The sequence below is a fragment of the Homo sapiens genome, chromosome 3 (assembly GCF_000001405.40).
Source record: "Homo sapiens chromosome 3, GRCh38.p14 Primary Assembly".
Lineage (NCBI taxonomy): Eukaryota > Metazoa > Chordata > Mammalia > Primates > Hominidae > Homo > Homo sapiens.
The window spans coordinates 10,623,405-10,641,109 of record NC_000003.12 but is presented as its reverse complement, the minus strand read 5'-3'; the positions used below and the strand labels follow the sequence as shown (position 1 = coordinate 10,641,109).

Genomic DNA, 17,705 nt, shown 5'->3' with positions numbered 1-17,705 from the left:
CCAATTCAATTGTTGTCCCAAGGTTGTTAGTTTCCCTGAGTTCAATTGCTAGTCATCCTGGGTGTACCCCAATCCCTCCTGCCTGGGGTCACACACCCCCACTGTTGGTCAGGAATCCATTCACATTGTCCTCCACATCACTGATGGCCATGTTGAAGGGGCTCTGAGGACAGAGCCACGTGGCATGCTATCAGAGACGCCCCTCTGGGATAACACTTCCAATTCATTTGATCATCCAACCACTCTGAATCCCTCTGTACTATGATCTGGCCTTCCTTTCCACAACATTTCCTCCAAAACATCAGGAGAGACCTTGAATGTTCAAACACCATGCCTCCGTGTTACTCTTGTCTGCCTGGAGAGCCCTAGGAAAGCAGGCAGGAGGCAGCAATGGGGAATGGGGTGGGGAATGGGGGCTGGGGTGAGGACATCACAGCCTTCCCCACACTCTTTCCTTATTACAAGGGCCCTCCTCCTCCAGAAGCTTTCTGGGAATCCCAGTAAAAGTAACTGCCTTCTCCTGCCTTCTGGCCTCGCCCAGGTCTCAGATCCCTGAGATCACATCACAATGCCTGCACTTCTCCAGGATGTCATTCATCTCAGTGGCCACAAAACAACAAGCCCCCTAGAGAAACCAAGAGTTCCCAAGCCAGTGCCTTGCCCTTGTTGCCTCCAGTGCCCCCTCTGCAGTATTTGCAGCCTGAAAATGATTCTCCTTGACAGAGAAGGAAGAGGCCGATTTAGAGAGGTGCTGTGCTGTCTTCACCTTCCTTTGGACCACTTGTGTCTGTCTGTCCCCTGGAAACCCCTGTCCTTTCTGTCCTGACCTCTGACGTAGTTCCCCAATCATTCCCTACCTTCAGAGCAAGTCCAGTAGGGTGAAAGAGCACCTTAGATAGACATCGGTTCAAATCCTGCTTCCTTGTCCTGTGGATGAGTAGCTCAGCCTCTCAGACCTCAATCTCCTCGTCAGTACAAGGGGAATAACAACATCACCCAGTGCTGGCTGATTCCCATTCACTACCACACTGGGGTGGCCAACCATCCTAATTTGCCTGAGCCTAAAAGGTCTCCTGGGAAAAGTCTAGACTTTCAGTGCAAAAACACCAATAGTACCCAAGAAAGCCTGGATGTACGGCCCCCTCTGTCAGTACTCAGAGCCATTCTCCCCTCTTCACCTTGCTCTGTGCCCAGGGATGCTGATCTCTAGGGACTGCACCCCTGAGCACTTCTGCCCTCCAGCCTTAGCTCGAGTTTAAGCAATGGGAGACATCAGCAGGAGACTAGAAGGTGGCAGGAGAGAGAAAGGTCAGGCATTTCTTCCTCACCCCCTTTCTGATTTGAGGCCTCTGCCATGGTTCCAGCAGTCACCGGCCTCCACTGACACTCTTTCTCCTCCTTGTCCCTTCAGGCCTAGGTGTGGCAACAACTCCGCACCCAGTCACTAGTCTCTGGGTGCCTTGATATCTGCTAGGGTCTGAATGTTTGTGACCCCTCAAAATTCCCATGTTGAAGTCCCATCCATCAAGGTTCTGGTATTAGGAGGTGGGGCCTTGGGGAGGTGATTAGGTCTTGAGGGAGAAGCCCTCATGATAGGGATTAGTGATTCTATAAAAGAGACTCCAGAGAACCAGCCAGTCTCTCCCACCATTTGAGGATACAGTGAGAAGGCAGTGTCTGAGGCCCTCTCCAGACTCCAAATCTGCTGGCACCTTGACCTTGGACTTCTCAGCCTTAAGAACTGTGAGAAATACATTTCTATTGCCTATAAGCTACCCACTTAATTGTATTTTGTTATAGTAGCCAGAATGAACAATATTCTTCCCATAACCCCATGCCTGCATTAAAGTCCCTCATTGGAGCCATCTGGAGTGAATTCTGCTGGGCTTTTGGTGACTTTTCATTTTCTTAATAGTGTCTTTCCGAGAGCAGAAGTTTTAAATTTTGATGAAGCCCAATTTATCTATTTGTTCTTTTATGGATGGTGCTTTTGGTGATGTACATAACGAATATTTGCCCAACTTTGCCTAAAGTTGCAAACGTTTACCCCAATAGTTCTGTCCCTTGTTCTATCAATTATTGAGGGAGAAGTATTGAAATCTCCAACGATGATTGTGAATTTCTCTAGTTCTCTTGTTTTCCATCAATATTTGCGTCATGCATTTTAAGCTGCCTTATTAGATGCTTAATCATTTAGGATTGCTATCTCCACTTTATGAATGGACTTCCTTAGCATTTTGAAATTACCTTCTTTATCCCTGCTAATATTCTTTGCTCTGAAATCTACTTTGATATAAATGTAGCCACTCCAGCTTTTGATTATGTTAGCATAGCATATCTTTTTCCATCATTTTACTTTCAACTTATTTGTGTCTTTATATTTGAAGCACATTTCTTATAGACAACATAGAGTTGTACTTTGCTTTTTAATCCAATCTGACAATCTCTGCCTTTTAATTGGGAAGTTTAGACTACTTACATTTATTGGGATCATAGATATGGTTAGCTTTAAATCTATCATCTTGCTATTTGTCTCCTGTGTTTTTGTGCACTTTTTCCCTATTTCCTGTTGTCTTTGGGATTAATTGGATATCTTTATATTATTTTATTTCCTTTGTTAGCTTATTATCTCTAATTCTGTATTTTGTTATTTTAGTGGTTTTTTTTAACTTATCACAGTCTACCTTCAAGTAATATTATACCACTTCACATGCAGTATGCCTTACAAAAGTATACTTCAATTTTTCCTCCTCAACCTTTATGCTGTTATTGTCATACATTTGACTTTTGCATGTATTTTAAACACCATACTTCTTTGTTGTCATTTTTGTGTAGGCAGCATTATCTTTTTTAACATTTTAAATGTTTTTTAAATCCTATATATTTGCCTACATAGTTGCTAAATACTCTTCCTTTCTTATGAGGAGCTGTATTTCCATCTGTTATTTTCCTTTTGTCTGAAAGACTTGCTTTAACGTTTCTTATAGTACAGTTCTGTTGGTGATGAATTCTTTCAGCTTTTTATGTCTAAAAATGTTTTTATTTTACCTTGATTTTGAGAGATATTTTCACTGGTACGTATACAGTGTGTTTCTTCTTTTTTCTTTTCATCTAAAGATGTTGCCCCACTGTCTTCTCACTTGCATTGCTTCTAGTGAAAAAATCTGTCATCATTATCTTTGTTCTTCTGTTACAATGCTTTTTTTTTTCTGGCTGCTTCTAAGATTTTCTCCTTCCCACTTGTTTTCCACAATTTGATTTTGATGTGCCTTGGTGTTGCTTTCTTCATGTTTCTTGTGCTTGGGGTTCTTTGAGCTTCTTAGGCCTGTGTGTTTATAGTTCTTATCAAATTTGGAAAATTTTCAGCCATTATTTCTCAAATGTTTGTTTCTGCACTGCCTCTCCTTTCTCTTCTCCTCTGAGGACTCCAGTTGCATATGTGGTTGGCCACTTAAAGCTGCCCCACAGCTCACTGATACTCTTTTCAGTTTCTTATTCTCTCTTCTCTCTGTATTTCATTTTGGGTAGTTTCTATTGCTATCTTCAAGTTCACTAATCTTTCCTTCTGCAGTGTCTAATCTGCTATTGAGCCCATCCAGTGTCTTTTTCATTTCAGACATCATAGTTTTCATCTCTAGAAGGTTGGTTTGTGGTTTTGTTATATCTTCTATGTCTTAACTTTTTGAACATGTGGAATATAGTTATAATAACTGTTACAATGCCCTGGTCTGCTAATTCTAACATCTGATTCAGTTCTGAGTCAGTTTTTATTGATTCATTTATCTTTTCACTTTGATTGTAATTTCCTGATTCTTTGCATACCTGGTAAGTTTTTATTGGATATCAGACACTGTGAATTTTACCTTATTGGGTACTAGATATTTTTGTAATCTTATCGATATTCTTGAGCTACATCTGGGACATAGTTAAGATACTTGGAGACAGTTTGATCCTATTGGGTCTTGTTTTTAATACTTGTTAGATAGGGATAGAGCAGTGCTAAGTCTAGTGTTAATTGTTCCCCACTGCTGAGGCAAGACCCTTCTGAATACTCAACTCAACGTCCATGAATCTTGAGGTGTCCCAGTCTGGCTAATGGCAATAGGCACTATTTCCAGCCCTGTCTGACTGCCAGGCCTTGCTCCCACTAATTATTTCCAGTGGTTCCTTCCCTGGACTTGGGTAAGTTTCTCACACACAGGCCCTGATTAGCACTTAGCTGAATACTCAAGAGTGACCCTCTGCAGGTCTCCAGAGTTCTCTCTGTAGCTCTTTGCAGCTCTTTCCCCTCTGATGCTCTGTCCTGGACTCTTAGCTCCATCTCCTCAACTCAGAGTCCACCGGGCTCCACCTGGGTACCCCCCAGTTTGAACCATGGCCTTGAAACCCTCTCAAGGCAGTGTTTGGGGCAATCACTGACTTACCTATTTTGTTTTTCATCTCTAGTTATCATTGACCATTGTTGTCTGATGTCCAGCATCGTGCAAACAAACTGTTGTTTTGTATATTTTGCTCATTTTTTTCATTTTTTGCAGGTGAGAGGGCAAATCTGGTCTCTGTCGCTCCTTCTTGGCTGGAAACAGAAGTTTCCCAAGCAGTTTAAATCAGGGAAACAATGAAACAGTTTGATCGTTAGAACAATTCCTCTTTCTAGAAGTTCTTCCTAATCTCCCTGGGGTCTTAGACATCCAGCCCCCTTGGCCTGAGTGAGCCCAATCTCCTAGCCTCCTGCAGCCCAGGAAGGAGGTTTGAGTATGAAGCCAGCCTTTCAAGACAAGTCCCAAGAGGAGAGGCTGTGCATCTCCTGGGAAATGACACAGCCTGCCCTACTGTCACCTTGCATTTCTGTCTGCAGGTCCCTAGCACTCTGAGGCAGGAGTGCTTGGGTGAGTGAAGCGGCATGTCATTATTGGCAAAAGCAGGGGAGTTGATGCTGGGAGAATGCTCATGGGCTGCAGGAAGAGACTGGCCTTTACATTGGAATAGCACATCACGTGCCAGTCTTATCCACATCTTGACCCCTGTGGGGTCGGCAGGCAGAGGCTTTCATCCGCCTCTTAGAAGTTTAAGTGTAAGAGGTCTCCAGGCTGCCAAATGGCAGAGTTTGCATCCCTGAGCACTTGTGCAGAATTTAGGGCCCTGGGCATCCATTTGGGTAGGTCCAGGGGGCCCTCTGCCTGGAGGCTCATCCCTGAGAGGCTCAGCAGGAAGGCCTGGGAGTGACACTTGCAGCCGCCACTGCAGCCTCCCTTGCCAGCAGGAATCTCTTTGAGCTAAGGCCAGGGAGTGCTTTATGAAATACCCACCAGGGGATCATTTGCTGACTCCAGCCCAGCCTGGTCAGTGCAAAGCTGGCAGGGATTGATGAGAATGACTGAGAGGGCACAATCCTGGTCAGGCAGGCACAGGGCTGTATGGAAGGAGGCCTGAGGATGCTGCGTCCTTGTCGCGTGCAAAATGCTACCTGGGAGGTGCTAGTGGAATTTTCCACTAGGGCCAAATTGTGGCAGATCATTCTAGGCAGCTGCTTCTGATTCTTGTCTCCCCCTGCCATCTGGAGGGCTCAGAACACTGGAGAGGGAGAGGGGAACAGGATGGGCTTTAGAGTCTCTGGCACGTAAGCAGGATGGAGAAATTTCACCGCTGTAGGCACCTAAGAGCTGGAAAGTCATGTTGCCTGGTGTCCTCAGTCTGTCACTGGAGGAGGGAAGGGAAATGCAGGAGGCTTTTAGAGCTGTTTTCTGATTACTTGGGGTGCAACATTCCTAACCACTGGAACTCTCAACCAGAGACTCCAAACCCGGGGCTTCAGGCAAATCCCGTGACTATGTTGAATGTTATGGGTTTTAAACTGGAATTAGTTGCCAACATCCCCAAATTGAGAGATGCCATGGAAGTACCTGGATTTCCAACTTCTCTTGAAAATTGGAAGCTCAGGCAACCTTGAGCTGAGTAGTGACACTTTCCATATCCTCACAGTACCTCCTGCTCCGTATTGTCTCCCACAGAGAGGCCAGTGATACCATTCCAATTCCCAGGGACATTTATCTCGGGGTCCTGCGAGTGTTGGAAGGCTCTTTCTTCTATCACGTAGGAACAACCAATCCCATACGCTGTTGTGTCTCCCTGACACACCCACCCCAACCCTCTGATCCTTTGAGCAAAAGCCCTGGTTCCACATAACAGGACTTCCCCACCAAACCTGCCCCTCAAGAAAGTTCTCTGAAGCTCATAGTTAGGAATAGAGGAGATTTGTATTTTGGCAGAGGACACGCATGCTAATGGTGGAGTTCTGGCTGCCAGGAGGCTCACAGGGGAGCTCCTTTAGGGGAGTAAAGGTCCTTCCTGGTGACTTGTCATGGGGTCAAGGTTCAGAAGGCATTCATGCACTCTTCTGTGGAGAAGACAGGTCACCCTGCTGGAGGCAGGGGACTGACTCAAATGACTTGTACTGGGCTCAGCCCTCAAAGCCTATGACTGGAGGCTCCCAAAGATGTGGTTTATATTTTCTGTATGTCACAGCGACCCCAAAATTGTGTTTTCTCAAGGCCACAGAGAAGATCCTGGGGCTATTTTTGGAATCAGGGAGATTGTTCAGTTGGCTGGAGTCAGGGACTGGCTTGGGGCATCTGTGAGAGGCCATGGAAGCTGTGTTTTCCTAGTGGAGAAGTTGTTTGGGCCACCCCTGGGGATGTCTCCAAGGCTGAATTGGACACGGCCCCCAGTGGGGTCACCTTGGGATATGGTGCTATGGCAGATATTGGAACCATGGAAACCAGGGTCTCACCATGCAGCTGCCACCAACTGACAGTGAGATTGCCGTAAACAAGTCACGTAGCCTCAGATGCCTTGTGCATCACTTAGGAGCACTTTGCCTGTAAATAACAGAACATGTGATTGAAAGTAATAAAGTAATAAGCACCTGGTAGTGGGAGGTTCCTGGGTTGATTCAGAAAGGAACTCAGTCGCCATCTCATTGTGTCAGCCTCATGGTTGCAAAATGGCTGCCATGGGTTCAAGCCCCACCTCCTCACAGGGAAGCGTCCAAAGTTAGGCAGAAAGGCGGCAAGGAAGAAGGGTTCTCCTTGTGCATCTCTCTCTCTCTTGATCGGGTTGGGCGGTGGGGCATTCTTACCTGGGATCCTTTGAGCGGAAGTCTTAATGGCTAAAATGGGTCAGATGGCCACCCTTAGCTGGGAAGGAATCTAGGAAAGTGAGTATCAGGCATTTCTTGTCTCTGTTATGTCTTGGCAGCATGGAGAATGGGGAGGAGAATAACTGTTGGGGGGACAGCCAATACAGGCTGCCCTGCCTCAACTATAGAATGGAAACTGGACTGAGGATCTTGTGCCCAAGGGTGCAGGCTTACCTAAGCTTTGTTGCTCAGAGCTATTATTTCAGAAAGTGCTGGTATATTAAAAGTTAAGTTAGTCTACCTCCCCTGGCAGGTTTTCAGTTTTTCTTGCATACTGTTCTCCCTTGTGAAGGGCCTAGTGCTTCAATATCATGGCCTTCCTTCATTAAAATTTCTATCCCCATGTATTACCATCAGAGAAGAAGGCATTTGATGTGAAGAAATTCATACTAAAGTGTTAGTGACTAATAGATGCCCTTCTTGGTCCCTGTTGATTAATACATGAAGACTTGTTAACTTAAAAAAAATGAAACATTATTAACAGTTCTCCAGTGGGGTGAGACTTCTAAGAGAAACAGATTGTTTCTGGGAAGGAGCGGCAAATCCAGGATGGAGGGCATCCTGTCTGCTGTTATTGCATCAGTGGATGGCAACCCTGGTGTGGAAACCTTTTGGAAGCGGAGGCAGGGTGGGAGAAATAGCATTCATGGAAGCACTCATATGTGTTAACTCATTTAACCCCCACAGCGATTCTATAAGACAGCCATTAGAATTCTCATTTTCTTGATGAAGGGAGAGAAACTCAGAGAGGTCAAGTCACTCATCCAAGGTCACACAGCTGGGAGGTGGAAGAGCAAGGATTCCACTCCCAGGCCCACATGGCTCAGGGCCCCTGTTCCCAGCCAGCCCCTGCATCTCCTTACTTTTTATCAGCTTCATGTTGAGGGAGCCCTGGCTCAGCAAGGCTGTCTGAGGGCCTGGTCAGAAGTCACACAGAGATGTGCCCCCCTCCATTTGAGTGTCCTCAGATGCCCTTATGGCAGGGCTGTGCCCTCCAGCCAGTCAGGGTGAGAGGAGGAGAGCAGGACAGCCACCAGGGGAACAGGGATAAGCAGCAGTTCCACTGGGCCTCACTATTCCGGGGCTGTCACCACAAAGAGGCCCAGTAACATTGCGGGGACACAGCCAGGACTTGCTCAGTGGCCGACCCTGTGCAGGGCTGTGTCCCCAGAGCCACCTGCAGAGGACCTGGCAGAGCTGGCTCATCCTCTTTAGATGCTAAGAGAAAGACCCAGGGTAGGGGAAAGGACCCACCCATGCCCAGTGTCCCTTTGTGGCAAGGCCAGAGCTCGATGCTAAGCCCTGCCAACTCCTCCTCCAATGTTTACTCCAGCTTGCCACAGTCATTAACTTTGTCTCAGAGCGTTTCACCAGAAATTTGTGACGCACCTACTGTGTGCCAGGATCCCTGTGTAAGATCCCTGACTTCACTGAGCCTTAGAACAAACACATACAGTGTAGGGACATTCCTGAAAACAGTAACTGTAACACGTAAAGGCCCCATAGAGGATACTGGCCTGCCCCGGGGTGGCAAACTCAAATGTCTCCAGGGCCATGCTGATGTCATGCTGCGTGAAAACGGGGAGACGAGCAGCTGGGAGTGGTGGAGACTGCGGCCTCTCTATGGGAGTAGTCACACCCAGCACCAGAGTTGTTAATCTTATAGGGAGTGTGAGATCCAGGAACCTGGTATTCCCATTTTTTAAGAAAGTACAGAAATCTACACTTTTATATGTCATTTTCCTAGCATTTAAAACTCTCTCCAAGCCCACCACAAAAAACCATCTGCAGGCTGGATTCAGCCCATGGCTCCTGCCCCACTGCTCCTCAGGCACAGAGAAGGGAAAATTTTTTCTAAAGTCACACAGAGATAGCAGTCAAGCCAAGCCTAGAACCTGAGGGTCCCAGTCCAGGCTGAGGACCTCGGGACCTGCTTCACATTAAGTTCAAAGCCCATTCTCTCTTCTGGATGTGCAACAATAGTTCATCTTTGGTAGCAACTCACTTTGGGTAAAGATAGCCCTCCTGAAACCTCTTTTATAAGAAATAAAACTGGGAAATTAGCAGCAAGCTATGTTAAATCTTCTGGCACTTTCCAAATGTTGCTCTGATTTTAATCCTGATGCTGTATTTGATATGGAAGCATTTCTGATCTTTCTTTCTTAGCATGTAGGGGACGCTGGCCTCCTTTCTAAGGGAGGAGGAGCCCATTGTATGGAACCCAAGTCTGTCTTCCAGGCTGCCAGGACTTGTGCAGGGCCAGCCTGGGATTGGGAGTGAGGGCCACTTTATATGGTCTGTCCCACCATGTCCACAGTAGCCCCCTTGCAAAGATCTCCCTTCCCAAAGCCTGGACCTCAAGTAGCTTGAATGCCACTGATTAGAGGGGTGGCAGCTTGATTAATAGCACAGGCTGAATGAGCTCAATTGGAGGCCTTGCTCTGCCACTTGCCAACTGTGTGACCTTGAGCAAGTCATGTCACCTCTTTGAGCCTCAGGATTCCTCATCTGTAAAATGGGCTAATAATGTTTATCCTAAAGGAAAGATGGACCTATCACTTGGCTATTAACAGTAATGTTAATTGCAACAAACCAACATGTAGTTCAGCCACATTCGGATATAAAAAGTGTTGAGCAACAACAAATTCTGCAAATGTTTTTTCTTCTGATTTATGCCTAGGTATTTAAGTAGCATTTTACTAAGTGCCAGATCCTGTACAAAACACTTTACAAATACTGACTCGTTTAAACCTTGTTACCACCCTCCCAGGTAGATGATACTTTACAGATTTACAGATAAAGAAATTGAAACACACAGAGTAAGTAACTTGCTCCAGGACACGCAGCTGGGCTGCAAACCAAGTTGTGTGGCTCGGGGTCTGTGCTCATAACTACTCCCTTCTATTCTGAAACACATTTTCCAATTTGGAATTGATCCACCAAAAGAAGAAATAATTCTTTCTCTACCCGAGGAAGTAGTTGAAAGACTGTGCCATCGAGAAACCAAAGACATGGGTTCAAATCACAGCCCTGCCTCCCACTGGCTGTGTGCTCACCGCCCCCCACCCCCCCGCCACAAACTTAGCCTTGCTTTCCTCATTGCCAAATTGGGCTAATAGCACTACCTACCTCTCAGTTTGGAGAAACAAGGAGTCAACCACTGGGTGTGAAAGTGCTTTATAAAGTTTTAAGTGCAGTATAAATGCAGAGTATTAATAACAATAACTTCACCTGAGCCATTTTACAGATGAGGAAACTGGGGCTCTGGAAAATTAAATATGCAGGATCATAAAGCTGTGTTACCCAATAGCAAAGACATGGAATCAACCTAAATGCCCATCAATGGTAGACTGGATAAAGAAAATGTGGTACATATACACCATGGAATACTATGAAGCCATAAAAAAGAACAAGATCATGTCCTTTGCAGGGACATGGATGGAGCTGGAAGCCATTATACTCAGCAAACTAATGCAGGAATAGAAAATCAAATACCGCATGTACATGTTCTCACTTATAAATGGGAGCCAAATGATGAGAACACATGGACCTGTAGAGGGGAACAACAGACACTGGGACCTCTTGGTGGGTGGAAGGTGGGAAGAGGGAGAGCATCAGGAAAAGTAACTAATGGGTACTGGGCTTAATACTTAAGTGATGAAATAATCTGTACAACAAACCCCCATGGCACAAGTCTACCTATGTAACAAACATGCACATGTACTCCTGAACTTAAAAGTTAAAAATAAAAAATTTTAAAATGAAATTGTGTTACCACTCAAAGGTGGCCGTGTTTAACTGTTGCCTGCTGCTGTCTGTGAGGATTGGGGAGACTCAGCCAAATCAGCAGGCGAAGAGCAACGCCCCACACTCCCAGCCTTGGACGGACAGTGAGAGGTCAGTCTGTCCCCGAGGATAAGGGGTTTGTCCTGATGGCTTCTCCACTGGCTTTGCCCAGTCTTTGTCACAGATTTGGGTGTGTTTACAATCAGACACTAAGAGGCTCAGCCCTTCCACACGCACAGCATCGATACCCATGTGGGTTGTAAGAGGATTTCTGCTTTTGCGTTGCTTGGCAATATTTTGTTTAAATGAATTTATGCCAGAGATTAATATAGTTTGTGAGCTGAACTGCTTACTTGGCAGGAAGTGGGAAATAAAGAGGGCTTGCGGAGATTTGGTGTGAAAACAGCTTTTAGAATGAGCGCATGCAGGTGAAGCTTGGGCAGTGGAGCTGGACTCTGGAGGAAGGATCCCTGGGTTTCATCCCCACTCGGCCACTTCCCAGCTGTGGGACCCTCCACCTGCAACCAAACCTCTATGCCTCTGCCTCTGAAAAACAACAGCCTCTACCCACAGGGCAGGTGAGGATCGGCTGAGACGACGCCTGTGGTCTCCCAAGCACCGGAGAGGCATGTGGCACACGGAAGGCCCTCGGCGGGAAATGTGCCCTATCAACAAATGAATGATCAACACATCCTCCTTCTTTGTGGAGTCCATATGTGCGAGTTTGCCTCCTCCTTAAAATGTATTTACCCAGATAATGTATGTACCCAGATAATGTATATACCCAGATCAATACTCATGGTGCTTTTGCGGTGATTTGTAGACGTGTGCAGAGGTGGAAAATGGCAGTTGCCCGCAGCGCGTTCCCAGCGGAGGTCGAGCCAGGTGACGCTCTGCCTTCCTGCTTCAAGCTCGTCCCATAAGCAGGGGTGCCTTCTGCAGTCTGTGCAGTACCGCATATTTCCCCATCTGTGTGCTTTCTGTTGGTGGTTTTGCTGTTTGAAATGGCCCCGAAGCGTGGTGCTGCCGTGCTGTTTTGTGTTCCTCAGCCCAGAAGGCCCGGCTGTGCCCTACGGAGAAAACCGTGTGTTAGGCAGCTTCATCCAGGCGTGAGTTATGGTGCCGTTGGCCGGGAGCCCAACGTTAATGAGCCAACGATAGATATTAAATAAGGTATCTTTAAACAAACAAAAACAAACAAACAATACTTAAAACAAGGTTATATACTGATCAGTTGGTGAAAATGTTGTGACCAGAAGTTCCCAGGAACCTGACCCTGTATTTCCTAGGAGCAAAGGTTCAGTACTTGACAATTCAGCACCCACAGTGACTTTATAGAGCAGAACTACCAGAAATAACCAGCATCAACTGTATAACCACAGTCCCTACCGTGGTGACTGCCTTTCTGCTTCCAAAGGGATGCAGGAAAGAGGTTGGTTTTGGGGTCTCCCACCGTGGCAGTTGCTATGAGGAGCAACTATGGTAAAGGCTGTGAAAGGAGATTGTAAACAGTGAAGTCCATGGGTCGGAATTGTGAATGCCATCACTTTCACTATTGCATGGACGCCCTACTACATGTCCTGCGTTGAGGCCTGCCTCCGGGTGTAGGGCTGTTGTTGAGCTTTAGGGCATTAGGAGAGAGCTGCGAAAGGAGGCAGAGGATGTCCTAGAGGACTCCACAGGCATCTCTTCCCTGCACGTTAATCATTCGCCAGAGCTTGGAGGAGGGCTGCTCCTGGCTGCTGTTCACTCTGTGTCCACCACCCAGTCTGGCCACCATTGCCTCTTGCCTGGATGGTGGCATGGCCACCTCACTGCTCTCAGCCTCCCTCTGGGAGTCCTGCATCCACTCTCTACCCACAGCGGCCAGACTTCTCACCCTTCCACTGTACATCTGTTAATGACTCCCCATTTTTCTCAGGAGAAAGTCCAAAGCCCTGGCCATGGGCCCTGAGGCCCTGGGTTGTCGGGCCTCTGCCATGTCTCTAGCTTCCTGTGAGGCCATGCAGGTCCCCGCCCCCTGCTCCAGCCACACTGGCTTCCCTGCTGGTCCCGGAATGTGCCACGCCCATCCCGCAATAGGCCTTTGCATTGCCCAGCCTCTCCCTTGCCCCCAACACCTGTACCTGCTCCCCACCTGCATAGCTTCAGGTCTCAGCTTGAGTCGCCTCCCTGATGACCCTGGCCCAGGATCATCACACAAAGTGGGCCCCATGATGTAGCCCCTCCTCCACCCCACCTTTTTTACAGAACCTATCTCAGGTGACATTTCCTACTTATATAAGTGACCATTTGATAAACGGCCATCAGACTGTGAAGGCCACGAGGTCAGACACTGGGTCTACCTTAGCTCACCACCACATTCCCAGAGCAGGGGAGAGGGCCTGGCACATGGTAGGTGCTCAATAAACATTTAGTAAGTGGAGAAATTCGTAATGAAGAAGATCCAGGCTCTTCCCTTGCGGTTCACCGACTGGAAGGACAGTAAGCTAGCATCTATTACACCCGACCTTGCACAAGGATCCAGCGAGGGGGAGAGGTCATTTTTCTCACATTTTGGAGGATGATGAGGCTCAGAGAGGCTGGGAGAACTGGCCCAGGGTCACATAGCTAAGAAGTGGCAGGAGCAGGATCTGAACCCAGGACTGGCTAACCCAGGAGCCTCTCCCTCCTGCCCCTGCCCTGTCCTCCCATCTTTGTTTGTCCAGGCCTCCATATTACAGTTTTATATATGAAGGGAGGCATCCCTTAGGGTACTGAGGCCTTGACCTCATGTCACCAGTCTTTCCAATATTCTCTCCTTTCCATAAGCTGGTCCCAAAGGCAGAGCGAGATGGAGCCCATGCTGATGCTGCCCCCGGGGACCACTTGCTTGTCTGGCTGGCTCTGGCACATCTCCTTGCAGGAAAGCACCCGCCTCTTAGAGAAGCCCAGTCAATCTGACAGATTCAGAACCTGCCATCCACACTGTGGGGCATGGGGAAGCTTTGGCATCTGGCAGGCCTTAAAGGAGCCACAGGATGCTGGGAGGGTGAGAATTAGTTGACTCACCCACTCTTGTTTTACACATGGGGAAATGGAGGCCCAGAGAAGGGAGACAACTCATCCGAGTCTGGGGAGTGAGTTTCAAAAGCAAAATGAGAAGCCCAGGCCCTGGACTCCTGGGCAGTGTCATTTATGTTTGCCTCAGTGTCTCATTGGTAAATGAAAAGTGTGTGTGTGTGTGTGTGTGTGTGTGTGTGTGTGTGTGTGTGTGTGTGTGTCTCACTACCAGTCTATCAAGGTAACTGAAATATCACCATTAATTCTTTTTCTCATAGAGAACTTTCTGCTAGCTCTCTAAAGGAATGAAAATAACCTTGGGTAGGTAATGGGACAGGGAGAATCCTAAGTCATCAGCCAAATTATTTATTCATTGACATCTCCATTCATCCATTTATTCACTCATCCTTTTCTCCATCTATTCATTTATCAGCCTCTCTAACTACCAATTCATCCACCAGTCCATCCATCCATCCACCCATCCATCCATCCATCCATCCATCCATCCATCCATCCATCCATCCCCTTCTCTCTCCATCTGTATCTCCATATATCCACTTTTCTTTCTAGCCATCCATTCATCCATCTATCCTTTCACCAGGTTCTCACTAAGCATCAATTCTGTGACTGGCTCTGTGGGGTAGAGATGAAAAGGCTCACTCAGTTCCAGCCCCTGCAGATCCCCCAGGACCCTGGCAGCAGCAGATCTATGAGCCCACATTTCCCCCTGCTTGTGAGGATCACACCAAGAGAGACATTCACATCCTGGCCTCACAAAGAAGAGATGGCAAAGTGGAAAAAGGCCGGAGTCCCCAACCCTGAGCCCTTTACCCTGTCTCAGTCTTTTATAACGAGGTGTGTGTGCTTGGGCAATGCCTCTCTCTTCTGGGACTCAGTGTACCCATCTCTGCTGTGGGGAGGTTGGACTAGATGAGAGTTTCCCAAACTCCAGTTGTTTCTTTCCCTCCCTCCACACCTGGAGATCAGAACACCTGTACTAAAAAGTACTGAAAATCTTTATTCAAATGAGCTCACTTTTTTTCAACCAAAATAAACTTATTTTAGAGTGAAACTTTATTGCTACCATAAATGGGAAAAAAATGGTAACAGCTGTCATAAATAGAAAGTAACAATTTTAAAAAACTTTAGAAAAAGAAGGCAGACTGCTGATGCTATTAAATCCTGGGTGGATACTGCATCCTACCAGTGGAGGTCTGCTCTCCTTGTTTAAGAGAGAATTTAGCAAGCGTCAGGGAGGTGTTAAACATACAATACGCGCACTAAACTCAGACTTTCTCCTTGGAGAGGTGTCCCAGAGTGTGCCTCCCATCCTTGGGTGGCAATGGGAGGGGGTCCCTGCTGAAGGGTCCCTGAGTGTGGGGGCACCACTCCCACCACAGAGGGGTAGCCCTGGCTGCATCCTGGCCACTCTCCTCCAAGCCTTCTGAATACACTCTGGGCCCGGCCCCTCTTGAAAACTCAACACCTCCCCCTCCTCCACAAACCGCCCAAGAAGCCAAGGGTCAGGAAGCCATGATCCGGATTCTGTAACTCAAACCGGGGAGTATCTGCGTCAAATCCTGGCGGAGTAGGAAACCAATATGGGAATCTGAAGCCATCCCATTCAGTAGTTCAGCGGGAGCCAGGGGCAGCCCATCACTCAGAGAAGGCCCTGACCCGTTCTTATCTCCCCTGCAGCTGCAAGACTCCTCCCCCTGGCTCCACCACCCCTCACCTTCTCACTCTTGACCCAGGCCCCCGAAGCCCATGACAGCATAGGGTCCCAAGGTATGGCATTTTTGAATGTCCCTGGGGCACTATCAAGTATAATCAGGAAAAAGAAAATGTGTCTCTTAGCTAGGCCAATGCCTTAAGTACCCACAGACCGTTCATTCCCCTGCAAGGCAGGTGGCCTCGTGCAGCCAGAGACCTTGTGTAGCCAGAATACCACGTCCTCACCTCTGAGTTTCTGGGGCCTGCTGAACCTCCTGCAGCAACACTGACATCAATGGTATTATTTACTCGAAAAATTGTTCCATTTTGGATTCAGATTTCAGAAGGACATTTGAAATACCAAAGCTGCCGCCAGCTCTGTTAAGGACACAGAAAGGCCCGCTTTCCCATCTGGCCTTGGCTCCAGCCTGGTGCCATGGTGGGGGTCGGGTATCTTTGCACCACCAAGCCCCCACCCCCACATCTGAACAGCCAAGCCAGAAAAGTCCAGAAAAAGGAAAACATTTAAAAAACACAACATTGGGCTTTGCCTTAGAAAGTGCTTTTCCTCAGAAAGTGCTTTTCCTCTTTAGTTAATAGTTACAACCTCTTATATGGGTCTTACAACTCATTCATTCATGCATTCATTCATGCATTCGTACTCATTCATTCATGCATTCATTCATTCCACCAGGGCTGATGTTTGACTGACAAGCAGGGTCAGGAAAGCCCTGTTGGTTATTTATAGCTAGTGTCCCCCTTGGCACATGACAAAGCCGTGCTGCTTGCTAAATACTTAAAACCTCACCCCTGTGTTCAAAAACATTGATTGAGCACACAGTGACATTTCAGGCGCTGAGATTGTCAACCCCTGGGACACACCAGTGTCCAGGCACAATCCCTCCTTCAAGAGCGTATGGCCACCACAGGCAGAGACACACCCACCAATGCAACACAGGGATTCTTGTGATGGAGACCCAGACATAGCACCTGTCCTGAGAGCTGGAAGAGGCAGAGGGGCCTCATATCTCGGCCAGAAATAAAGGAAAGACATTTTGGAAAAGTTACTGAGGGGGTGAAATTCCACACGTTAGACTTACTAAATCTCTGAATGACAGAGCAGGAAGGTACCTGAGAGATCTTTGAGGCCACCATTCCCCAAAGTATATTCTAAGGAATGCTAGTTTATTCCAAAAAAAGTTTTCAAGGTCAAGTTAATATGGGAAATACTGGGTCAAACCAAACTAAGCTGGTTTCTATGATGCAGGACTTATCAGAGCCTTAGTCATTGCCTTGTGAAATCTACAAGGGGGATGGGAGCTACAGGAAGCTTCTTGAAAGACTAGTGCTCCCCAGAGATCACTCTGAGTGACCCTAAGCTAGTCCAACCCTTTTTCCACAGACAAGGAAACTCGGGCCCCAAGAGCAGCTGGCATTTGCCTAACATCTCACAGGGAGTAGAGGGTGGAGTTGGAATTAGAACCCAAGGCTTCTCCCTTGGAAGCAGGCTGTTTAGGGCATGTTGTTTGGGCCTTGGGTGCTACTGGCACATGAGAAGAATGAGGTTCACGTGGGCTGAAGCAATCCTGGGAGGCTTCCTGGAGGAGGCAGAACTTGTGGAAATCCTGGGGCTCCTGGAGCCAATGACTCATGACTTTATTGACTGAACAGTGGTATCACAGAGAACCAGGTACATACTGGAACCTCATTGTCACCCAGTTTTCCTAGAGAGACCTTCAGGATGCAGGCAGGCCTTCCGCCCAAGGAGATTAGTCCCTGAACTTTCGAAGGATAAAAGTGCTTGGAGGTGTATTTTCATCTTCAATGAAGCCTCCCTGATTGCCACCCCAAGTTAAAATGATCCCTTACCTCCACCCCTGATTTCTTCCCTTCCATTCTTCCTTTCAAGTTTTGTTTTTGGGCTGTGTGAGATCCTCACTAGTTTATAAACCATTTGAAAGTAGAATGG

At 47.3% G+C, this 17,705-nt stretch overlaps 1 protein-coding gene and 1 long non-coding RNA gene across 6 annotated transcripts in view, besides 1 other annotated feature; both read left to right on the top strand.

Annotated features, from left to right (window-relative positions):
• Positions 1–17,705, top strand: part of ATP2B2 (ATPase plasma membrane Ca2+ transporting 2) — a 384,094-nt gene that overhangs the window by 67,007 nt on the left and 299,382 nt on the right. The gene's annotated exons all lie outside the window — the stretch shown is intronic.
• Positions 11,355–11,854: an enhancer, noted in NCBI's record as "H3K4me1 hESC enhancer chr3:10670941-10671440 (GRCh37/hg19 assembly coordinates)". NCBI's record gives its function as "activates a minimal SCP1, AML or CMV promoter by ChIP-STARR-seq in naive H9 embryonic stem cells {active_cell/tissue: H9 hESC(naive)}" and the evidence as "EXISTENCE:reporter gene assay evidence [ECO:0000049][PMID:30033119]".
• Positions 14,303–15,095, top strand: ATP2B2-IT2 (ATP2B2 intronic transcript 2). The gene is made up of 2 exons (NR_046766.1): positions 14,303–14,344; positions 14,625–15,095. It is a non-coding gene; the product is annotated as an ATP2B2 intronic transcript 2 (long non-coding RNA).